The sequence below is a fragment of the Homo sapiens genome, chromosome 8 (assembly GCF_000001405.40).
Source record: "Homo sapiens chromosome 8, GRCh38.p14 Primary Assembly".
In the NCBI taxonomy this organism is placed as follows: domain Eukaryota; kingdom Metazoa; phylum Chordata; class Mammalia; order Primates; family Hominidae; genus Homo; species Homo sapiens.
In genome coordinates this window covers 39,954,829-39,980,207 of record NC_000008.11, presented here as the reverse complement: position 1 = coordinate 39,980,207, position 25,379 = coordinate 39,954,829, and the positions used below count along the sequence as shown (strand labels likewise).

Here is a 25,379-nt window from a genome sequence, read left to right as displayed (position 1 = left end):
GGATTATGAAGAGCAACCTAGATAATTTATATACATAAGAGTACAAAATGCTGTGAGGTTTTTATGAATTCTCAGAGTCTGTCTTCAGGCCCGGCATGGTGGCTCACGCCTGTAATCCCAGCACAGGAGGCAAAGGCAGGAGGATCACTTGAGGCCAGGAGTTTAAGATCAGCCTGGGCAAAACAGCAAGACCCTCATCTCTACAAAAAATTTTTAACATTAGCTGGGTGTGGCGGTACATGCTGGTAGCCCCAGCTTCTCAGGAGGCTGAGGTGGGAGGGTTGCTTGAGCCTGGGAGGAGTTGAGGCTGCAGTGAGCTATGATTGCACCACTGCACTCCAGCCTGGGCAACATGGTGCAACCCTGTTTTAAAGCAAAAAGGCAATCTGCCTTCAAATGCAGGTCTTCAAACATTCTTGGAAGAGAGTGCCAAAAACAAACAAACAAACATTCAAAAGCTTATAAAAGGAAGAAATAGCTACCAGTTTAAAAAACAAATTAGCTCTTAGTCAGAAAAATTAAAATAAAAAAATCCTTCATTTAAATGGCCCTTCAGGCTGAACGCAGTGGCTCACGCCTATAATCCCAGCACTGTGGGAAGCCCAGGCAGGCAGATTACCTGAGGTCAAGAGTTCGAGACCAGCCTGGGCAACATGGTGAAACCCATCTCTACTAAAAATACAAAAATTAGCCAGGTGTGGTGGTGGGTGCCTGTAGTCTCAGCTACAAGAAAGGCTGAGGCAGGAGAATTGCTTGAACCTGGAAGGGGAGGTTGCAGTGAGCCAAGATCACCCCACTGCCCTCCAGCCTGAGTGACAGAGTGAGACTGGCTCAAAATAAAATAAAAAAATAATAATAATAAATAATAAATGAGCCCTTCATCGTTGCTTAAACTGATGCCCATCGAGAAGAAGAAAGTACCCATTTTCCAGGAAAACAGGGTAGCACCAAGCAGGGAGCACGTTACTCCAGGCGCAGGTAACCTGCCGGGTAACAGGAGAAGCTGCTCTCTGGCCCTCACCTCTGCAGGCTGCGCCTCTCCTTCCTGCCAGACATAACCCATGGTGAGGAAGCTCAGGACCAGGTGGGCCAGGCGCTGCTCCCGGTGACCCTTCAGGAACTGGCAGCTCAGCAGGGGCATCTGTTCATGAAAGTCCAAATGCCGTCAGAGGAGGGATGGGAACCGGGACAGGGGAGGTAACGGGGGCCGGGGACCTGGGATGTGAAGGGACCTTTGGGTGGAAGGCAATGGGTTATATTTTAATGAAGGTACAAAGAGCCCGCACACACACCCATTTATCCCCAGACCCAGGACCCTGTAGTATAGGAGGTGGTCCACACGACTTTGCTCAGGAAGAACCTAACCGCCCACCCGAGCCCACAGTTTGTCCCCATGGCTGTGGCAGCCTCCCGTCTCCATCCCTGAAGCCACTGCTTGGCTGGAATGTTGTAGGATACTTAACTCCCAGGACTGAGCGGACTTATTTCCTAGGAGTCTTGCATGGCAACTTTTACAAGCCTGTCTTATCCAAACACTGTGGCCTGCTTGCTATCGCTGACCCTGCAACAGCCCTGTGCGGTGGGTGTTCCTCTCTCTATCAAACAGGAGCAGGAGCACAACCCCTGACGCTGCCTGGGGCTTTTCACACCCCCTCCACCCCCGCCCTCCATGCCTATAGCCCTGTTGCCATAATGGGGAAGACACAGCATCACTGTGACGCGTAAAGGCGGTATCATGGTTGAAAGCAACACTTGGTAAACAAGTATCAGCAGTTTCTCCGCGCTGCCCGGGGCTGCCCTGCCTGACAGCAGCGGCCTCTGAATTCGGCTACCAGGCGCGTCCCCTCTGCTCGCCTCTTCCCCTCGCCCCAGCCCACTCCCCAGCTCTAGACACAGACTGATCTGGATCTTCCCGGGTGGTCCCCTCCCGGGTCCGAAGCGCCAGAAAGGAGGGCGGCAGGGGGTGTTTTTGTTGTCCTTTTAATCTCCAGGCACCGCCACGTGGGCACAGAGCTGGGGCTCCTCCAGCGCAGGCCCGGGTTGAGGTTGGGGTATCCTCAGGCTGGTCCTTCACCCGCTGTCCTCCCCATGGCCAGACTGCGCACTTCTTCCTCCCAAAAATGAGCTCTCATTCACCATCCCCAGGGGTTCTAAAATACAGCTAGATAGAATGAATAAGAGCTAGTGTTTGATAGCACAACAGGAGGCTACAATAACATTGTACATTTAAAAATAACTGAAAGTGTAATTGGATTGTTTGTAACACAAAGAAAGGATAAATGCTTGAGGTGACAAACACTCCGTTTACTCTGATGTGATTATTACATGTTGCATGCCTGTATCAAAACATCTCATGTACCCCATAAATGTATACACCGACTATGTGCCCACAAAAATTAAAAATAAAAATAAAATTGGCTTTCAGAATCACAACTAGAATGTGCCCTAGGCTTGCAGGGGAGGCACAGCTGGAAGGAGGGAGTACTGTTGAGATGTTACTTGTTTTGTTTCGTTTTGTTTTGTTTTAGAAACAGGATCTTGCTCTGTTACCCTGGCTGGAGTGCAGTACAGCAATCATAGCTCACTGCAGCTTTGAACTTCTGGGCTCAAGCAATCCTCCTGCCTCAGCCTCCTGAGTACCTGGGACTACAGGCATGTGCCACTGCATCTGGCTAATTTTAAAATTGTTTGTAGGGATGGGGGTCTCACTATGTTGCCCAGGTTAGTCTCAAACTCAAACTTCTGGGTTGGAACAATCCTCCCGCCTTGGCCTCCCAAAGTGCTAGGCTTACTTATGCCCAGCCTTGAGATGTTGCTTTTTAACAAGAACCAGGTGAGCATTATAACAGCAGTTATTTATTAAGTACATTTTAAATTTATTGACACTCTCTTAGCCGAAACCAGGTAGTTCATTGTTTTCATTGGCATTTTTGTTTTATTCTTGAGATTGAGCATTTTTGCCTGTTTATCATCAATTCAAATATCTTTCACTGTCTTAACTACTTATATTATTTGCCCATCTTTCCCCATCAATCATTCATCTTACTGATTTCATAGAATACATTTTGTATTATGGATCTTAATCTTTCATATAAATGTTCTAAAATTTTTTTTAGTTCATTGTTGTTTAATAATTTATTTTGAGTGTTATATAATTATTTTTATTACGTCTAGACACATTTGAAAGATACATTATTAGAAAATTATTAATACTTTTCTCACAAATAAATAAAAAATATTAATCACATTTTATTTCTAAGTCAATTTGTTCTGAATTGTAAATGACTTTGAGGACATGAGCACAAAATTATTTGTCCCTGATGACAGGTGTATTAAAAGTCTATGAATTAATAGAAATAATATCGGACTAAAAACAGAAATACTAATTTGTGGGTTTCCATCAAAATGGAAAGGTACTCTACCTTCAGCCCTTTTCTTAATGCTACTCAGCTAACATTTTGACAGTCTCTGGCCTCAGTTTGGGAGGGCCAAATATGTGATTTTCCCTCTAAAAGCAAAAATGCAGTTTGAGGAGCTTCTCGGAACCATTGTGAACATTTCTTTAGAATCTGCAACATGATTCAGGGCAACATGTTTGCACTATTTTCTGCTGAACACTTTGAAATGCATCTTATAACTTCCTATTTATTAGAAGCATTTCATGAATTTGTACACCGTGAATATAAACACATGTAATATCTATTTACAACCTAAAGAGTAGACATAAGTAAACACTTATTTACTCATCACTCAGCTTAAGAAATAGAACTTGACCAAAATTTTTGCAACCCTCTGTGTACCTCTCATTGATTGTAATATCCTGCTTGCTCCTTGAGAGTATCTATTTGTTGAATTTTGTATTTGTTATTTCCTCGCTATTTATATATCCTTCAAAATTCATATATGTATGATCACTGAACAATATATTATTGGCCAGGCACAGTGACTCACACCTGTAATCTCAGCATTTTGGGAGGCTGAGACGGGCAGATCACTTGAGGTCAGGAGTTTGAGACAAGCGGCCAACATGGTGAAATCCCATCTCTATAAAAATACAAAAATTAGCCAGGTGTGGTGGTGCACACCTGTAGTCCCAGCTACTTGGGAGGCAGAGGCAGGGGAATAGCCTGAACCTGGGAGGTGGAGGTTTCAGTGAGCCAGGATGGTCCCACTGCACTCCATCCTGGAGGACAAAGTGAGACACCATCTCAAAATATATTGGTTATTTAGTTTGAATGCTTTTGAACTTAACATAATAGAATTATACTGAATACAGGATATTCTATGATTTCCTTTTCTCATCACCATTATGGCTTTGACATTCATCATTACTGGATGCATCTGCAGTTTATTTATTTTCACAGTTATTTTATGTTTTTTTGCTATGATAAACGATACTTTCATACCTTTCAGGGTACACAGGCCTAGGAAGCTCTAAGGTATTTATATAGACAAGAAGGAAGTTCTTAATAGGATTTATATTTTCAACATTGCCAGATAATGACAAGCAGTTTTTGAGAGAGGTTGTACCCACAGTGAATAAAAGATTCAGGTGTTTTATATTCCTGCCAATACCTGTTCATGCCAGACTTTAAGCATTTTTCAGTTGTATGGTTATAAAATGCTATCCCATTATGGTTTTAACTTTCATTTTCTTGACTATTAATGATAGCTTGCATTTTTCAGATGATATATTGGGAACTTGTGTCTTCTATTCCACAAAATGTCTGTTGAACATTGTTTTTTATTTGGTTGTTTTTCCAATCAATTTACAAGATTTTGTATATTCAGGATACAAATCTTCTTTTCATTTATATGTGTGACAATATCTTCTCTCAGTTTGTAGCTTGGCTTTCATTGTCTTTTGGCCTGTTTTGATGAACAGAGGTCCTGTTTTAAGGATATCAAGTATGTCATAAAAATACTCCAATGTTGAATGGCGTGAACCCAGGAGGTGGAGCTTTCAGTGAGCCAAGATCACGCCAATGCACTCCAGCCTGGGCGACAGAGTGAGACTCCGTCACAAAAAAAAAAAACAAAAAAAAAAACTCCAATGTTGTGCCATATTAGAAAAATCTTTATTTTTTTTTTGAGACGGAGTCTTTCTCTGTTTCCCAGGCTGGAGTACAGTGGCATGATGGCACGATCTCGGCTCACTGCAACCTCTGCCTCCTGGGTTCAAGTGATTCTCCTGCCTCAGCCTCCCAAGTAGCTGAGATTACAGGCTCATGCCACCACACCCAGCTAATTTTGTGCTTTTGTTTTGTTTTGTTTTGTTTTTAGACGGAGTCTCGCTCTGTCACCAGGTCACCAGGCTGGAGTGCCGTCGTGCAATCTCAGTTCACTGCAACCTCTGCCTCCCGGGTTCAAGCTATTCTCCTGCCTCAGCCTCCCAAGTAGATGGGACTACAGGTGCGTGCCACCACGCCCAGCTAATTTTTGTATTTTTAGTAGAGATGAGTTTTCACCATATTGGCCAGGATGGTCTAGATCTCTTGACTTTGTGATCGATCTGCCCACATGGGCCTCCCAAAGTACTGGGATTTCAGGTGTGAGCCACAGTGCCCAGCCAATTTTGTGTATTTTCAGTAGAGATGGAGTTTCACCATGTTGGCCAGGATGATCTCAAACTCCTGATCTCAGGTGATCCACCCACCTCGGCCTCCCAAAGTGCTGGGATTACAGGCGTGAGCCACCGTGCCGGGCCCTAGAAAATTCTTCCTTTATCCCAGTACATAAAGATACTCTCCTACATTTTCTTCCAACAGATGAAACATTTTTGATTTTGACATTTAAGTTTGTATCCATCTTGAATGAATTTATTTTTGTTTGTGGTGAAAAGAGCAGAGCCAGTTAATCATTTTGCTATGTGCCAACTCTATGTATGGATTACTATTCATGTTTTTACCATCGTGTTCCCAACATTTCACCCTGTCATATGTTTAGTATGTATTCCATACACACATGGGTCTGTATGTAGGTCCTCTATTAAGTTTTTGGTTCCCTTGTTTATTGCTGCCCTGATGCCATCTGGTCAGAATTTCTATGGTTTTATAACATGTCATGAAAACTGATAGGAAAAATCTTACTTTGCTGTTAACTGTATATTATTTTTCTGGTTCATTTGTTTTATAATCTGGCATAGCACACCAATACAAACATTATTTTGGCTGGGCACAGTGGCTCACACCTGTAATCCCAGCACTTTGAGAGGCCAAGGCAGGTGGATCACTTGAGGTCAGGAATTCAAGACCAGCCTGATTTTGGTGAAACCCAGTCTCTACCAAAAATATAAAAAATTAGCTGGGCGTGGTGGCAGGAGCCTGTAATACCAACTACTCGGGAGGCTGAGGCAGGAGAATCGCTTGAACCCGGGAAGTGGAGGTTGCAGTGAGCCGAGATTGTGCCACTACACCCCAGCCTAGGAGACAGAGCAAGACTCCATCTCAGAAAAAAAAAAAAGAAGAAAACGAAACACAAGAAAACCCATGATTTTCGTTTTACAGCTCTCACTCCACTATGTCCCCAGTTTTGTTAAAAAGAAATATGGAGTTTAGCTGTATCATTTTAACACAACTTGGTCACAAGTATATATACCTACACACAATGCACAATTAGAATGCTATTATAATATTTTATAAATTATTTTCTTATTTCACAGTCACATTGTCAATGATTATAATGACCATAAAATTTACTGATTTCATTGTTTCACAGTATTTCTTACATACTTACAGTTTCCTTTCCTAAGGAAAGGAAATTATCAGCTGTTTCTTCAAGAAGACCAGGCTCCTGTTATTGGAGAAGGGTATTTATCTGGGCAGTGGGTTTGCTCATTGCTACTGGGATGTCACTAATTCTAGATCCTTGCAGTGGATAGATCTAGGAAGCATGTGTGTGTATATATAAATACATATAACTCATTATATAGGCATATGTAAGTAGTATTATACATTCTTATATATTTATAAATATTAAACAAAACATGACTTCATACTGATGTCTCCAACTCTAATCCAGTGGCACTTATTAATTCTAGCTTTCCCTCCTACCCCTTGCTGATCTATAACTTCCCTCACTCACAGTGAAACATCATCCATCATCTATTTACTTATTGTTCAACCCCAGTATGTACAGGCATACCCTGGAGATAGTCAGGGCTCAATTCCAGACCACCACAATAAAGTGACTATCCCAATAAAGCAAATCACACACATTTCTTGGCTTCCCAGTGCATGTAAAAGTTATGTTCACACTATAAAGTGTGCAATAGCATTATGTCTAGAAAAACAATGTACATTATAAAGTACTTTATACCTTAATTATAAAGTACTTTATTGCTAAAATATGCTAATGATCATCTGAGCCTTCAGTGAGTCATAATCTCTTTGCTGGTGGAGAGCCCTGCTTTGATGCTGATGGCTACTTACTGTTCAGGATGTTGGTTGCTGAAGGTTGGGGTGGCTTAAGAAAACAAGGCGGTTTGCCACATCAATTGACTCTTCCTTTCACAAGAGATTTATCCATTGCATGCATGCAATCTGTTTGTTAGCATTTTTTCCCCAGTAGAACTTTTTTTTTTTTTTTTTTTTTTTTTTGAGATGGAGTCTTGCTCTGTTACCCGGGCTGGAGTGCAGTGGCGAGATCTTGACTCACTGCAACCTCTGCCTCCCAGGTTAAAGCAATTCTCCTGCTTCAGCCTCCCAAGTAGCTGGGATCACAGGAGCCTGCCACCATGACCAGCTAATTTTTGTATTTTTAGTAGAGGTAGTGGTATTTCATCATGTTGGCCAAGCTGGTCTCAAACTCAACCTCAAGTGATCCGCCTGCCTCGGCTTCCCAAAGTGCTGGCGTGAGCCACCACGCTCGGCACCCAGTAGAACTTCTTTTAAAATTGCAGTTAATCCTCTCAAACCCTGCTGATGCTTTATCAACTATGTTTATGGAACATTCTAATTTTTTTTTATCATTTCAACAATGTTCAGCAACATTTCAACAGCAGCTCAAACACAGTATTTTCACCACGAGTAAATTCTGTGTTGTGCAACTACTTTCTTTGCTCCATAAGAAGCAACTTATCTCTTAAAGTTCAATCATGCAGCCGGGGTGTTGGCCCACGCCTGTAATCCCAGCACTTTGGGAGGCCAAGGTGGGTGGATCACCTGATGCCAGGAGTTTGAGACCAGCCTGGCCAACATGGAAAAACCCCATCTCTACTAAAAATACAAAAAATTAGGTGGGCATGGTGGCAGGCACCTATAATCCTAGGAACTCGGGAGGCTGAGGCAGGAGACTTGCTTGAACCAGGGAGGCAGAGCCTGCAGTGAGCCAAGATTGCGCCACTGCACTCCAGCTTGGGCAATAAGAACGAAACTCTGTCTCAAAAAAAAAAGAAAAGAAAAGTTCAATCGTAAGATTGCAGCAACTCAGTTATAAAATCAGATTCCACTTCTAATTTTAGTTCTCATACTATTTCTGCGACATCTCCAGTGACTTCCTCTGCTCAAGTCTTGAACCCCTCAAAGTCATCCATGAGGGTTGACTTCTTGCAAACTCCTATTAATGTTTTTATTTTGACGTCCTCCATGAATCATGAATGCTTTTAATAGTATCTAGAATAGTGAATCCTTTCCAGGTTTCCATTTGACTTTGCCCAGATTCTTCAGAGGGATCATTATCTGTGTCAGGAATAGCCTTACAAAGTATAGTTCTTAAATAATAAGACTTGAAAGCCAAAATGACCCCTTGATCCATAGGTTGCAGAACAAATGTGTTAGCAGACATGAAAACAACATTTATTTCCTGTATATCTCCAGTAGAGCTCTTGGGTGACCAGAGGCATTGTTAATAAGCAGTAATATTTTGAAAGGAATATTTTTTTCTGAGCAGTAGGTCGCAACAGTGAGCTTAAAGTATTCAGTAAAGCATGCTGTAAATAGATATGCCATCATCCAGGCCTTATTGTCCGTTTACAGAGCACAGGCAGAGTAGATTTAGCATAGCTGGTAAGGGCCCTAAGATTTCAGGAATGGTAAATGAGCACTGGCTTCAACTTAAAGTCACCAGCTGCACTAGCCCCTAACAAGAGAGTCAGCCTGTCCTTTCAAGCTAGGCATTGACTTTTTTCTAACTATGAAAGTCCTGGGCCGGGCGCAGTGGCTCACACCTGTAATCCCAGCACTTTGGGAGGCCAAGGGGGGTGGATCACGAGGTCAGAGATAGAGACCATCTTGGCCAACATGGTGAAACCCCGTCTCTACTAAAACTGCAAAAATTAGCTGGGCATGGTGGCACGTGCCTGTAGTCCCAGCTACTCAGGAGGCTGAGGCAGGGGAAACACTTGAACCCGGGAGGCAGAGATTGCAGTGAGCTGAGATCGCATCACTGCACTCCAGCCTGGCGACAGAGTGAGACTCTGTCTCAAAAAAAAAAAAAAAAAAAAAGTCCTGGTTGGAATCTTCTTCCAATAAAAGATGGTTTTGTCTGCATTGAACACCTATTTTTAAATGTAGCCACTGGCCAGGCGTGGTGGCTCATGCCTGTAATCCAGCTCTTTGGGAGGCCAAGGCGGGTGGATCACCTGAGGTCAGGAGTTCAAGACCAGCCTGGCCAATGTGGTGAAACCCCGTCTCTACCAAAGATACAAAAATTAGTCAGGCGTTGTGGCAGATGCCTGTAATCCCAGGTACTGGGAAGGCTGAGGCAGGAGAATTGCTTGAACCTAGGAGGTGGAGGTTGCAGTGAGCCAACATCATGCCACCACACTCCAGCCTGGGGGACAGAGCAAGACTTTGTCTCAAAATAAATAAATTAATAAATAACAAAAATAAAAAATAAATGTAGCCACCTTCATTGATGATTTTAGCTGGATCTTCTGGATAATTAGCTGCAGCTTCTCCATCAGCACTTGCTGCTTCACCTTGCACTTTTATGTTGTGGAGATGGCTTCTAGCCTCATACTTCATGAACCAGATTCTGCTGGTTTAAAACTTTTTTACTACAGCTTCTTCAGCCCTCTCAGACTTTGTAGAATTGAAGAGAATTAGGGCCTTTCTTTGAATTAGGCTTTGGTTTAAGGGAAGTTGTGGCTGGTTTGATCTTCTATCCAAAATACTCAAACTTCCTCTATACCAGCAATAAGGCTCTTTTGCTTTCTTATCATTCGTATGTTCACTGGAGTAGCACTTTTAATTTTCTTCAAAAGCTTTTCCTTTGCACTCCCAGCTTGGCTGTTTGGCAAAAGAGGCCCAGCTTTAAGCCTATCTGGTTTTGACATGACTTTCTCACCAAGCTTAATCATTTCTAGCTTTAGATATTTTTTTTTTTTTTTTTGAGAAGGAGTTTTACTCTTGTTGCCCTGGCTGGAGTGCAATCGCACAATCTAGGCTCACTGCAACCTCCATTTCCAGGGTTCAAACGATTGTTCTGCCTCAGTCTCCTGAGTAGCTAGGATTACAGGTGTGCACCACCATGCCTGGCTAATTTTTGCATTTTTAGTCAAGACAGAGTTTCGCCATGTTGGCCAGGCTGGTCTCGAAGTCCTGAACTCAGGTGATCTCCCCGCCTTGGCTTCCCAAAGTGCTGGGATTAGAGGCCTGAGCCACCATGACCAGCCTCTAGTTTTAGATTTTTAAAGTGAGAGACATGCAACTCCTTTCACTTGAACACTTAGAGGCCATTGTAGGATTATTAATTGGCCTAATTTCAATATTATTATGTCTCAGGAAATCAGGAGGCCTGAGGAGGGGGAGAGAGATGGGGCAATGGCTGGTCAGTGGAGCAGTCAGAACACATACATTTATCAATTAAGTTTCAGGACTTATAGGGGCACAGTTTATGGCACCTTCAAAACGATTATGATAGTAACATTAAAGATCACTGATCACAGATCACTGTAACAGATGTAATAGTAAAGAAAAAGTTTTAACTATTGTTATAATTATCAAAATATGACACACAGACACCAAATGCGTACACACTATTGGAAAAATGGGGTTGACAGACTTGCTTGATGCAAGGTTGCTACGAATCTTCAATTTGTAAAAATTGAAATATCTGCAAAATGCAAAGGTATGACTACATGTAAAGCAGTTTCACAACTGTTCACCCGCACCCCATGAAAAACTGATTTACCAATTAGAGTATAGTGATCCTGTAAAGTTTCATTTACCGTAAGCCTTATAGATTCTAGTCACAACACAACACTATTTTCTGGAGTAATTTAAGTCCGTTCCTTTCCCTACTCCCCACTCTCTTCATCGAAGTTATATAGTGCATTTGTAGTCCAGTTAGGTGTTGTTGTTTGTTTTTTTTTTTTTTACTTTTTTAAAAATTTGCTTTAAGTTCTGGGATACATGTGCAGAATGTGCTGGTTTGTTACATATGTATACATGTGCCATGGTGGTTTGCTGCGCCTGTCAACCCATCATCTAGGTTTTAAGCCCCTCATGCTTTAGGTATTTGTCCTAATGCTCTCCCTCCCCTAGCCCCCCACCCCACAACAGGCCCCGGTGTGTGATGTTCCCCTCTCTGTGTCCTTGTGTTCTCATTGTTCAACTCCCACTTATAAGTAAGAACATGCGGTGTTTGGTGTTCTGTTCCTGTGTTAGTTTGCTGAGAGTCCAGTTAGTTTTATTTATCACAGTCTGCATTCCATCCTAGTATTCTCCCAATTTTCTGGTTTATTTTTTAAAATTTGCATACATGAAAGTCCATTCTTTGTGACATACAATTCCATGGGTTTTTCAGTGCCTAGAGCCATATATCCATCACCTGAGTGCCATATAAAACAGTTTCATCATGCTAAACATTCCCCTATATATTACCTTTGCAGTCAACTACCCACTCCTTACCTGTCTCTAGTAACCATAAAGCTATATTTAATCCTTCTAGTTTTGCCCTTTCTAAAAAGTCATTTGAAAAGAATCATACAATATAGGCCTGACATCTTTCATTTAGGTAAATGTATTTAAGGTTCATCCCTGTCATTGCACAAATTAATTGCTCAATCATTTGTATCGCTGAATACTATTCCACTATCCATCCCACAATTTACAATTATTATAATTTGGTTTATTCATTCCCCGGTTGAAGGATATCCTGTTTTCTTCCAGATTTTTTTTTTTTTTTGGTGATTATGAATAAAGCTGTTATAAACATTCATATATGGATTTTTTTTCTGGGAACATACATTTTCCATTTACTTGGATAAATGCTTAGGAATGCCATTGCTGAGTTGCATGGTAAATCTATGTTTCATTTTATAAGAATCTGCCAAGCTAGTTTTCAAACTGGCTGTACCATTTTGCATTTCAACCAGCAATGAATGAAAGTCTCTATTGCTATACGTCCTCTTCAGTATTTTGATATGGCCAGATTTTTAAAAAATTAGCCATACAAATAGGTATGAAATTGTCTTTTAGGCCAGCACGGTGGCTCACGCCTGTAATCCCAGCACTTTGGGAGGCCAAGGCGGGTGGATCACCTGAGGTCAGGAGTTTGAGACCAGCCTGGCCAACATGGTGAAACCCCGTCTCTAATAAAAATACAAAAATTAGCTGGGTGTGGTGGCGGGTGCCTGTAATCCCAGCTACTCGGGAAGCTGAGGCAGGACAATTGCTTGAACCCAGAGGCAGAGGTTGCAGTGAGTCGATATAGCACCACTGCACTCCAGCCTGGGCAACAAGAGTGAAACTCTGTCTCAAAAAAAAGAAAAGAAACTGTCTTTTAATATTTAGCATTACAGGTAAACAGTCGTATGTATTTACTCTGTAAATAAACTATTTTTCATTTTTGTTTTCTATGAATATGCAGATTTCTTTACCCTAGAAAATTCACAATTTTATCTGAGTATTTACATGTGCCCCCCAACCCTCACCCCAACACTGTCTTTCTGATATAAAAAACTCAAATATTTCTTAAGGTCTAAAAATTTTGTGCTTATATGTTGGAAGTTTTACTTTTCCTCCACCCATCTGCTTATGGGATTCCATTAAAAGGAATTTGGATCACCTGTATTTCTCTTTTTTATATATTTGTATTTTTCTGATGGTTTGCACTCTTTGATTTTTCTTTATGCTTTATGAAATTTATCAAGGAAGTCCCTAAGTCACTATATATATTTTTTGCAATCAATGTTTTACTGAATTTGTTAGGTTTATATTGAGGAGTTCTGGGATGTGTGTGGTTTTTTATTTCTAATAGTTCTTTTTATATATCAGCTTTCACTTAATTTAGGAAGGCAATATACTGGATACACTAAATAAAATATTTAAAGCACTAATATCATCTTATTTATTGGAGGCCATTGGTCCTGAATGCCAAGTGGGCTACCCTCTTCTTTTTGAGTTGCCCATTTTTTCCATATTATTTGGTAATTTTGTCTATTCAAATTCATGAACGAAGGTTAGTTTTATTAAGATTAGTGTCTAATATGGATTTTCTTATTGTATTTCCAGAGTTCTGCTGGATTTCTTCTTGCATAGCTCCCTCTGATCATGTCTTCCTAGGAAATGTGAGTGAATGGGTCTAAGGCAATTAATATATTTTGTTTCAAGATACAGATAGGTATGTTGAGACATTCTAAGACAAGGTGGTTGGCTTAGGTGCACTGTAAGATCAAAGCTGTAAATTCACTTATTGTGTTGTCTGTAGCAAGTAAAGGATCCAGAGAACACATGTTTTTGTTATAGCTCCATCTGTGGTTCTAGAAACTATTACATTTGCCTCTCACAGGAAATTGCTAACTGATTCAGTCTCTCGAAACTATTGTGTTTGCTTCTCACAAACAATTCCTGTTTCAATTTCAGCCTTTGGTGGTAAAGTCTAAAAACTGGCCTTCATTTGTTAGGTATTTTCCAGGCAATTAAGAGTAGGGATAGAGGCCGTGCATGGTGGCTCAGGCCTGTAATCCCAGGGCTTTGGGAGGCTGAGGCTGGTGGATCACAAGGTTAGGAGTTCGAGACCAGCCTGGCCAATATGGTGAAACCCCGTCTCTACTACAAATACAAAAATTACATGGGCATGGTGGCGGGTGCCTGTAGTCCCAGCTACTCAGGAGGCTGAGGCAGGAGAATTGCTTGAACCTGGGAGCTGGAGGTTGCAGTGAGCCAAGATTGCACCACTGCATTCCAGCCTGGGAGACAGAGTGAGACTCTGTCTCAAAAAAAAAAAAAAAAAAAAGAAGCGATAGAGACCAAGAGTGTTGTGTTAGTTTTATGCGCTGCCATAACTAATGACCACAAACATCATGACTTAAAATAGCAGAAATGTACTCTGCCACAGTTATGGAAGATAGAAGTCATAGAAGTCCCAAATTAAGGTATCAATAGGGTTGGTTTCTTCTGGAGCCTCTGAGGGAGAATTTGTTCCATTCTGTTCCATGCCTGTCTCCTAACTCCTGGTGACTGCCAGCAATCCTTGGCACATCTTGGCTTGTCAATGCATCATTCCAATTCTACCTCCATCTTCACGTGATGTTTTCCCTTGAGTCTATGTTCCTGTGTTTAATTTTTCCTCTTCTTATAAGGACACTCATCATATACAATTTAATCCAGTATCACCTCAGCTTAACTCGAATACATCTGTACACACCCTATTTCCAAATAAGACCACTTTCACAGATTATGCATGAACATGACTTCTAGGAAGACACTATTAAACCCAGTAAAAATTTGTATTTTAATATATATATATTTGTTTGTTTGTTTTGTTTTGTTTTTTGAGACAGAGTCTCACTCTGTGGCCCAGGCTAGAGTTCAGTGGTGTGATCTCAGCTAACTGCAACCTCTGTCTCCTGGGTTCAAGTGATTCTTCTGCCCCAGCCTCCCAAATAGCTGGGACTACAGGCATGTGCCACCATACCCTGCTAATTTTTTCTATTTTTAGTAGAGACATGGTTTCACCATGTTTCTCAGGCTGGTCTCGAACTCCTGAGCTCAGGCAATCCGCCAGCCTTGGCCTCCCAAAGTGCTAGGATTACAGGCGTGAGCCACCACACCCAGCCTAAACCCAGTACAAATGTTAGGTGATAGATTTCACACTCAATTTTAGCCAAAAGGCCAAGAAGGAATAGGGACTGGTTTCAATGCTGTGCTAAGAGGAGCCCCAATTTAACAAGTCCTTCTCTTCCTTTATGGCAGTTAAATCAAATAAAGCCTGGTAAATGCCTACGGCAGACGACCTCATAATTCACAAACTGAATTCTAACCTGCCCTCTTGCCAACTGTTCCAGGCTTCCCTTGCTTCTCTTCTCTGCTATTCTGAGATGGGAAAAGGGGACTCATGGGGATCTCCCTCTGCTTTGGTTAAATCCTTGACATGGGTCCTGTAAACTTATTTCTGGATTTTATACATGATTTGCTTAATACGTTCAAAAAAATCCTTTAAATTTTTATTCCATCATTGGAACTTTTCTCTATTTTTCTGTGTTTACAGATAGTTTTTTTCTTATTTTTGGATTTCTTTGGTCATGTCAACACAACATTTTATCTATCAGGCAAAGAAATTACTCTGTTTAGTTTGCTATCTTCACAGACATTGAAGCCAGTCCCTTACTCATCTTTTACAAGGTTCTAGTGCTTTGCACAAAGCAAACATTCAATGAGTATTTTAAAAAGAATTTGTAATTCTAGACATTAAATATTATCCATCAGCAAAGGGAAATTTTGGAGAGCGGAAAACTTTTCATGGACTTCCGCAATTATGTGGTACTCCAAACTGATAGATTAGGACAGATGGAGAAGAGACTACAGAGAAGTAATGAATGTATACTGAATGCTATTATAGGACAAGAACTACAAAAGGGCCACTTTGAAAGTGATTTACTTCCCATAACAATACTGTGAGACCAGAGTTTCTCTCATTTTATAAATAAGGAAATGGGATTACAGAGTTGAGTAACTTTTTCAGGGTTACATAGCTATTAGGTTGGTACAAAAGTGTTTGTGGTTTTTGTCATTAAAAGTAATGGCAAAAACTGCAATTACCTTTGTATCAGCCTAATCAACACTTGTGTGGAATTTACAGGCTTATTGGATGTTTTGTAGAACCCATGGCCAATTTTATAATTCAGAAATTCCCTCCATTTAACTATTCTATAACACCTAGGACAAAATCAAGTTAGACCCCCTCAGTAACAACAGAGCCTTGAGTACGTACATGGAATGAGGAACCTGAGAATTTCCAAGCTGACCTTCTTAGGCGATACCTTGTCCATTAGTTAGTTTATCATTCCCACCCAGATTCTTCTTTAAACAAACATTTGGTGAGTTATTGGCATGTGTCAGGCATTGTTTTGTGCTGGCTCTGAAAACCTTAGGAAAACACATGTATCAGATTACGAAGGGGTCATTCTGTTTTTCAGGAAGGAAGATATAGCTTTGCTGATAAGTTCAATGGTAATGAACAGTTTCCCAGGACAATTGACACACTTCCACAAGGCTAAGAAAGAAAAGTGGTATGATGATGAAAACAGAATGTGATGAGGGGGTGAAGAGAAGAATACCTTGTCCACATGAGCTTGAAGCTGGTGAGCATCAATCAATTGAGGAAGTTTGTTGGCAATTTCCATCCAAGGCCTATAATGATCTGGAAGTTCTTTCTGCATTTAAAATAGAAACATGTAAATATTTTAGACCTCTCTGGAAAGGGGCTTCCGAGAGTAGCTATTTTCACATTTCAGTCTTCAGGGGAATTCAAGTCAATGCAGTTGAACGAACATTGAGAATGCACCATATGCTAGTTAGGCCCTGTGCTCACCTCAGATACACAGATGACTAAGGAGCATATTGCCTAGTACGGGAGAAAAACACATTAGTCAGATATATGCCAATGCAGTAAAATATGTTTAATTACTGATATCTGTGTGAGCCAAATAACTTGCAAAGAAGAGGAAGTAGTTAATTCTGTCAGCTGTTGTGAGGAATTAAAGTGAAATATTCATAAAAATATGACAGTTGATCCCAATTTTTGGAGGGGAAGTGACTTTTCTGGGTATAAATGTGAAGAAGGGAAGGTAGTAAAGGTAGAGGGGACAGCAGATAAACAGATGTAGGTGCTTCCTGGGACAAAGATGACTCAGTGTTGCTAAAATATAAAACTCAAGAGAAAGTGATAGAGGCAGGAGGCAGACAGATGCCTAGGCAGATAGGGAAGGGTCCCTGTGAAACCCACCTTCAAGCCTAAAACAGTCTAAAGGCTGAAAGGCCAGACTCCTGGTCCCAGATGAAACCCGTGACCCAGAGGGAGAACTTCCCCTATTGGCTCACCCTTTCCCGATTGATTCTTTCTGAATAATGCCTTTTAACCAATCAAATGTTGCCTTTTCTGATACTACCTATGGTTTGCTTGGGTGAATAATGCCTTTTAACCAATCAAATGTTGCCTTTTCTGATACTACCTATGGTTTGCTTGGGCACACCCACATGCATAGTAGGAAAACTGGTGGAACCACCAGGAATTCATGCCTTATGCTGGGGAGGAGCCTAGCCTTTTCAGTTTGTGTGTGAAAGTCCTGGTGCTCCATTGTGAGGTGGGAGACTGCTGGTGAAACCCCTCTCTTTGCAGAGAACTCCCCTTTTGCTTAATAAATTCCGTCATCCTCACCCTTCACTATGTCCACCTGCCTAATTCTTCCTGGTCATGAGACAAGATCCTGGATTTCGCTGAGCTGAGGAGCAGAAAATCCTGCATCAAAAGGATGATGAAAGATGAGCCTAGAAAGTTACATGAAATGTGCTGTGTGTAGAATATATGAATTTTCCCTTTCTGTAAGTTGGTGACATGGTTTGATTTGAATTTTAGGAAGATAAATTTGTAGGACTTTAAGATATAAAGTCAGATAAGGAAGCCTTTAAAATATTGTTCAAGGACTAAACTTAGGTAATGACAGTGAATTTGGAAAGGAGAAGCCATATATTAAAGATACACTTGGAAAATGAAATTAAAATGATGTGATTATTAAATTTGGGGCTGGGGGCTTAAGGCAAGAAAATCACTAGCCCAATAGCTCCATTTATGGCCCACTCTAGGCCTGTGGTTTAGCCAAGTAAGACATAGTCCGAATTTCAGTGACCCCCAACTCTCACCCAAGGGACAGTAAACTACATTAATTTTCGTGAATTTTCATTGGCACCCAGCCTGTCTCATTTGTTTACATGCTATCTATGGTTGCTTTTACATTACAGCAGGAGAGTTGGTAGTTGCAACATAAACCATATGGTAAGCAAGCTTAAAGCAGTTAGTATTTGGCCCTTCAGAAAAAGTTCACCAATCTCTGATTTATCCCCCTAACCTGAGGCTCTTTTTCTCAGTGCATAACCTGCACAATTGAATTTTTGGGCTAAGAAGAAGAGGAATTGAGGATGATTTCCATGTTTATGAATTAGGTGAGCAAATGAATGGATGGAAACAAGAATTGAAACAGAAATGCAGGTGAAAGTCAAAGAGTGGGGATAAAGGTGGTAAATTCATTTTTAAATATATTGACATTAAATTACCTGTGGAATCAAAAGATATGACTGTGCTGAGAAGTTGGATACACAGTTTAAAGTTCAGGAGAAAAGTCATATTAGAAACATACAATTGGGGCTGGGCACGATGGCTCATACCTGTAATTTCAGCACTTGGGGAGGCCGAGGAGGGCGGATCACCTAAGGTCAGGAGTTTGTGACGGGCTTGACCAACATGGTGAAATCCTGTCTCTACTAAAAATAAAAAATTAGGCAGGCGTGTTGGCACATGCCTGTAATCCCAGCTACTCGGGAGGCTGATGTAGGAGAATCGCTTGAACCTGGGAGGCGAAAGTTGCAGTGAGCCAAGATCGTACCACTGCACTCCAGACTGGAGTAACAGAGTAACACTCCATTTCAAAAAAAAAAAAAAAAAAAGAAGTATACAATTTGAAAGCATAACTACAGTAAAAACCCTATATTGTGGTTAAAACCACAAGAGTGTATAAAGCCATGTGAGGGAATATGAAAAATGAAAGGAGAAGCCTAGATTAGCACAATGGAGAATATTCACAAGGCAGATAGAGGAACTGATTCCAGCAATACAGATCAAAAACATAGTGACAGACGCTCAATGAGCTTGAATAGAATGACCCTATAAAAGTCAAGACAGTAGGGCCAGGTGCGGTGGCTCACGCCTATAATCCCAACTCTTTGGGAGGCCAATGCAGGCAGATCACGAGGTCAGGAGATCAAGACCATCCTGGCTAACACGGTGAAACCCCGTCTCTACTAAAAATACAAAAAAATTAGCTGGGCGTGTTGGCGGGCACCTGTAGTCCCAGCTACTCGGGAGGCTGAGGCAGGAGAATGGCATGAACCCGGGAGGTGGAGCTTGCAGTGAGCCGAGATTGTGCCACTGCACTCCATCCTGGGCAACAGAGCGAGACTCCGTCTCAAAAAAAAATAAATTAATTAAAAAGTCAAGACAGTAGAGGATTTCACAGAAGTAGAGAATCATCAGAAGGTCAACCGCATCATTACAGAGTTAAAGTAAGATTGACCTCTTTAAAAAACAAAACAATATTAGGAAGTCACAAATATATATTAGTTTATCTATGTACATTTAATAGAAATTTAGGTCAGGGTCATAGAAGCAGGGTTCAAACGTTAGTGTGTTGAGGAATTAGAAAATAGAGAAAATGTAGATTACTTTTGAAGGAGAGCCATAAGGCAGTAGGGAATTTGCATTTCAGAGAGATCTTTTAAGAATGAGAAGCTTGAGCAGTTTATAGTTGGCTATTGCAAGAGGGAGAGATTGAAGACAAAGGAGAGAGGAGAGTAACAGAATGCAGAAGGAGCAAAGGACTGGAAGAAGCAAAGGAGGAGAGAGAGAGCCAGAATGGAATGTCTGTCCTTGCAGCAGTAGAAGATCTAGAGTTTAAAGGAGTTCACTTTTTATGGACTCAATTTCTTAGCAGATGGGAGTGAAGATCAAGTTGTGTGAGTTGAGATAGGGGTGGGTGTGAAATTAATTACAGAGGAGAAAAGACCAGGGACCTCAACCTAAACATAGAAATGACATGGAAGGTCCATGAGAACCCAGGGAAGTCTGAAAACTGTAAATTTGGAGTAGTATAGACCTATACATTACCCATAATTCACTTGGAAGTCTTCAGTCCCTGAGGATCTGAGACAAACCTGGGTTCAAGCTCCTAATTAATTCATAACTTGGGTACATCCAACATCCTACTCACAATCTCTGATTGATTGATTGATTGAGACACAGTTTCACTCTATCGCTCAGTCTAAAGTGCAGTGGTGCGATCTCAGCTCACTGCAACCTCTGCCTCCTGGGTTCAAGCTCCTAATTAATTCATAACTTGGGTATATCCAACATCCTATTCACAATCTCTGACTTATTTATTTATTTTATTTATTCATTTTGAGGCACAGTTTCACCCTATTGCTCAGGCTGGAATGCAGTGGCATGATCTTGGCTCCACCTCCTGAGTTCAAGAGATTCTCCTGCCTCAGCCTCCAGAGTAGCTGGGATTACAGGGGCATGTCACCATGCCTGGCTAATTTTTTGTATCTTTAGTAGAGATGGGGTTTTGCCATGTTGGCCAGCCTTGTCTTGAACTCCTGACCTAAGGTGATCCACCTGCCTCAGCCTCTCAAAGTGCTAAGATTACAGGTGTGACCCACTGTGCCCAGCCAAAGTTTATAGAGGTTTGAGAAAATAGTGTTGACATAAAATTGCTAGGTTAGACACATAATGAGTTATATTTTCTACTCAACAGAAATATTTTGCTGCTTTTCTGTATAAAAATCTACAAATTAACAGCCGGGCACAGTGGCTCACGCCTGTAATCCCAGCACTTTGGGAGGCCAAGGTAGGCAGATCACGAAGTCAGGAGATCAAGACCATCCTGGCTAACACGGTGAAACCCCGTCTCTCCTAAAAAAAAAAAATAGAAAAAATTAGCCCAGCGTGGTGGCGGGCACCTGTAGTCCCAGCTACTCGGGAGGCTAAGGCAGGAGAATGGCCTGAACCTGGGAGGCAGAGCTTGCAGTGAGCCAATCGCACCACTGCACTCCAGCCTGGGCGACAGAGCGAGACACTGTCTCAAAAAAAAAAAAAAAATCTACAGATTAACATGGAACTTCAGACTGAAGTAGCACAACAGTATTAATCAATACTAAGAAGTACAGAAAACAAAGGGAAAACCTCTAGATGTTTTAGTCACCGTAAAGTGAGATGGTTGAGACAATGCTCCAGGATGATATTGAAAAGACACACAGCCATTCTTTTGTTTCTGGATCATTCTTTGGATAATTTTCTTAACAAATTTATAATTTAAAGAAAAACAGATTTGTAAAACTGTATTTTATATGAACACTAAACTCTTTGTTAGATTAATGCTTGATTAGATTAAGTATAAATTTTGGCTAAGAAAGTAGCATAGGAAAATTAAAAATAAAAGCATGCACAAAAATAAACCAGGTGCCAGGCCCAGTGGCTCACACCTGTAATCCCAGCACTTTGGGAGGCTGAGATGGGCAGATCACTTGAGGTCAGAGGTTCAAGACGAGCCTGGCCATCATGGTGAAACCCCGTCTCTACTAAAAATACAAAAATTAGCCAGGCGTGGTGACACGAGCCTATAATCTCAGCTACTAAAAATACAAAAATTAGTTTGATGTGGTGGCAGACGTCTGTAATCCCAGCTACTTAGGAGGTTGATGCAGGAGAATCGCTTGAACCCAGGAGGCGGAGGTTGCAGTGAGCTGAGATCACGCCAGTGCACTCCAGCCTGGGCGACAGAGTGAGACTGTCTCCAAAAAAAGAAAAAAATTAGCTGGGTGTGGTAGCAGGCATCTGTAACCCCAGCTGTTCGGGAGGCTGAGGCGGGAGAATCGCCTGAACCTGGGAGGCAGAGGCGGGAGAATCGCCTGAACCTGGGAGGCAGAGGTTGCAGTGAGCTGAGATCAAGCCACTGCACTCCAGCCTGGGGAAGAGAGCAAGACTCCGTCTCAAAAAATAAAATAAAGTCTGGGCGCGGTGGCTCGCGCCTGTAATCCCAGCACTCTAGGAGGCCGATGCGGGCAGATCACGAGGTCAGGAGATCAAGACCATCCTGGCTAACACGGTGAAACCACGTCTCTAGTAGAAATACAAAAAATGAGCCGGGCATGGTGGCGGGTCCCTGTAATCCCAGCTACTCGGGAGGCTGAGGCGGGAGAATGGCGTGAACCCAGGAGGCGAAGGTTGCAGTGAGCTGAGATCGCACCACTGCACTCCAGCCTGGGTGACAGAGCTAGACTCCATCTCAAATACATAAATAAAAATAAAAATAAAATAAACCAGGTAAATATGAACAGGAAACTTGGGTGACAATATTAACATCAGAAAAATTAGAACCTAAACTATCAGAAAGATTAGAATTTGAAGCAGATGATTTTAAATGAAATCAAAGGTTTAAGTTTTGATGGAAAGAAGCTGTTCTGACATTGCATCAAAGTAAAGTGAAGGAGAAAGAGCTATTACATGCCCTTCTAGAGACAGGTGAGCATCACAGGGGCCCTGTAGGAAGAGTTTTAAAGAGCAAACTATCAAGGTTTTATTTTCATTTTACGTTTTTTAGAGACAGGATCTCACTCTGTCACCCACACTGGAGTGTAGTGGTACAAATATAGCTTATTGCAGCCTCAAACTCCCTGGGTCAAGCAATCTTCCCACCTCAGCCTCCCAAGTAGCTGGAACACAGGCACATAGGATCATGCACAGCTAATTCTTTTTTATTTTTGTAGAGATGGGGTCTCGCTATGTTGCCCAGGCTGGTCTCAAACTCCTGGCCTCATGTGATCCTCCTGCCTCAGCCTCCCAAAATGCTGGAATTATAGGTGTGAACTACCACCTCTAGCCTGATTTCCATTTGTAAGCATCACTTGACTGCTATGAACAGAATGTGTTACAGCTGAACAGGAATGGAAATAAGGAAACAAGGGGAGGAGACAATAGTCCTAGGGCTACATGAAGGTGGATTGAAGTGGGGTGGAAATGGAGAAAACTGGTCACCTTGGAAATATATTTCCATGATAGTGCTGAATTCATTTATTGTCAAATGGATCATTTGCAAATGGTGAAGACTATTGTGAGGATTATTTATTTATTTTATTTATTGATCTCTTTTTTTTTTTTTTTTTTTTTTTGAGATGGAGTCTCACTCTGTCATCCAGGCTAGAGTGCACTTGTGTGAGCTCGGTTCACTGCAACCTCCACCACCTGGGTTCAAGCAATTCTCCTGACTCAGCATCCCAAATAGCTGGGACTACAGGTGTATACCACCACGTCCGGCTGATTTTTGTCTTTTTAGTAGAGACAGTGTCACCATGTTGGCCAGGCTGGTCTTGAACTCCTGACATCGTGATCCACCCGCCTCAGCCTCCCAAAGTGCTGGGGTTACAGGCGTGAGCCACCGCATCCATCCAAGACTACTATGAGGCTTAGATTTAAAAAGTGTAGTTAAAGTTAACACAGGGCCTACTACAAAGTGAACACTTTCTATATAGTTATTACTATTACTATATTTTATAAACAAACTTCAACAGGGAATAAGAAAAAATCAATTCTTAATGAAATGTAAGAGGCTGCTATGAATAAATTTTGCTAATACACTTGAAAATTTCAGTTGAGTTCGCATTTGGGAAATTGCAAAAATTCATATTTTTATTTAGAAATAAAAAACCTAACTAGAACAAGAAGCATAAAGGGAATAGAAAATGTAATTCAAAACTTATAGCCTAAAATGTCTGTAGTCTGAAGAGCTATGCTATATCAACGGATAGATGATCTGTTTCAGAACACAGAAAAGCATGAGAAGGCATCTAATTGGCTGCGTGTGGTGGCTCATGCCTGTAATCCCAGCACTTTGGGAGGCCAAGCCAGATGGATCACTTGAGGTCAGGAGTTGGAGATCAGCCTGGCCAACATGGGGAAATCCCGTCTTTACTAAAAAGGATACAAAAATTAGCCAGGCATGGTGGTGCGTGCCTGTAATCCCAGCTACTCAGGAGGCTGAGTCGAGAGACTCTCTTGAGCCAGGAGGTGGAGATTGCAGTGAGCTGAGACTGCACCACTGCACTCCAGTCTGAGCAACAGAGCAAGACTCTGTCTCAAAAAAAAAAAAAAAAAAGTCATCTAATGCATCTTATGAAGAAAACGTAACCTAAAGATTAATCCTTGAAATAATAACACTAACCAAGGCAACTATCCACTGTTGCTATTTATGAATACAAAAAGACAATTCTGAAGATGTCACAAAATTGAGTTCAACAATATATTTAAAGATCAAGTGAGTCGGAGCATTGCTATGGTTACGTTTTAATGTTAGAACATTATTATTATACATTAAACAGTAAAATCTAGAAATATAGAAAACGTTTGGGGACAGTATTTTGACAAGCTACTACAGTAGAGGACATGCCAAAATAGCAACAAAGTTTTGCTGAAATTACTTCTAAAGAGGGTGGGACCTGACATTGGGAGATTTCTTTTCTTCTTTTTTATTTCTTTGTTTTCTTCCTTGCGGGATGGGTAGATTCGAGTCTAAGCTTCAGAGCTATGGATCATGGCTATCGTCAGAGTATTCAACTTTCTCTGTCCCCTCCCCCCACCTGGCATGAGAGCTCAGTCATTCCTCTTAAAAATCACCAGGCAACCTGTAACCCCAGCATTTTCAGATGCCAAGGCAGGTGGATCACCTGAGGTCAGAAGTTCGAGACCAGCCTGGCCAACATAGTGAAACCCCATCTCTACTAAAAATACAAAAAATAAGCCGGGTGTGATGGCCCGCACCTGTAATCCCAGCTACTTGGGAGGATGAGGCAGGAGAATCACTTGAACCCAGGAGGCAGAGGTTTCAGTGAGCCAAGAACGTGCCACTGCACTCCAGCCTAGGCAACAAGAGTGAAACTCTGTTTCAAAAAAAAAAAAAAAAAAAAGGCAAATATTAAAGAAATATTTGTTAATTGGTTTATATTGGTTAATATTTGTTAATGAGTCCATCTAGCATGCCAGAATATTTTTTCCTGGCCTTATATTTTCTGCTATGTGCTAAATTGTGTCTCCCCCAAATTCCTATGCTGAAGCCCTAGCCCTAGTACCTAAAAATATAACTGTATTTGGAGATAGGCCCTTGAAGGAGGTACATTGAAATGAGGCCTTTAGGGTGGGTCCAATTTAATCTGATTGGTGTCCCTAAAGAAGAGGAAATTTGGACACAAAGAGACAGGGGGAGACTGGGCACAGTAGCTTATGCCTGTAATCCTAGCACTTTGAGAGGCCGAGGTGCGCGGATCACTTGAGGCCAGGAGTTCAAAACCAACCTGACCAAAATAGCGAAACCCTATCTCTACTAAAAATAC

General features: G+C 41.5%; 1 protein-coding gene across 2 annotated transcripts in view, besides 3 other annotated features; it reads right to left on the bottom strand.

Annotated features, from left to right (window-relative positions):
• IDO2 (indoleamine 2,3-dioxygenase 2) overlaps positions 1-25,379 on the bottom strand; it is an 81,742-nt gene that overhangs the window by 36,185 nt on the left and 20,178 nt on the right. For both annotated transcript variants that reach the window (NM_194294.5, NM_001395206.1), the window contains 2 exons: positions 16,505-16,600; positions 1,022-1,141 (listed from right to left, as the gene is read on the bottom strand). In NM_194294.5, coding sequence (NP_919270.3) covers positions 1,022-1,141; positions 16,505-16,600 — 216 coding nt within the window. The remainder of the gene's footprint in view (positions 1-1,021; positions 1,142-16,504; positions 16,601-25,379) is intronic.
• Positions 1,165-1,397: a silencer, noted in NCBI's record as "fragment chr8:39836330-39836562 (GRCh37/hg19 assembly coordinates)". NCBI's record gives its function as "represses an EF-1alpha promoter that drives an FKBP-Casp9 reporter gene in an ReSE screen in K562 erythroleukemia cells {active_cell/tissue: K562}" and the evidence as "EXISTENCE:reporter gene assay evidence [ECO:0000049][PMID:32094911]".
• Positions 1,543-2,472: an enhancer, noted in NCBI's record as "H3K4me1 hESC enhancer chr8:39835255-39836184 (GRCh37/hg19 assembly coordinates)". NCBI's record gives its function as "activates a minimal SCP1, AML or CMV promoter by ChIP-STARR-seq in naive H9 embryonic stem cells {active_cell/tissue: H9 hESC(naive)}" and the evidence as "EXISTENCE:reporter gene assay evidence [ECO:0000049][PMID:30033119]".
• Positions 16,595-16,784: an enhancer, noted in NCBI's record as "active region_27279". NCBI's record gives its function as "activates an Ori minimal core promoter by ATAC-STARR-seq in GM12878 lymphoblastoid cells {active_cell/tissue: GM12878}" and the evidence as "EXISTENCE:reporter gene assay evidence [ECO:0000049][PMID:35858748]".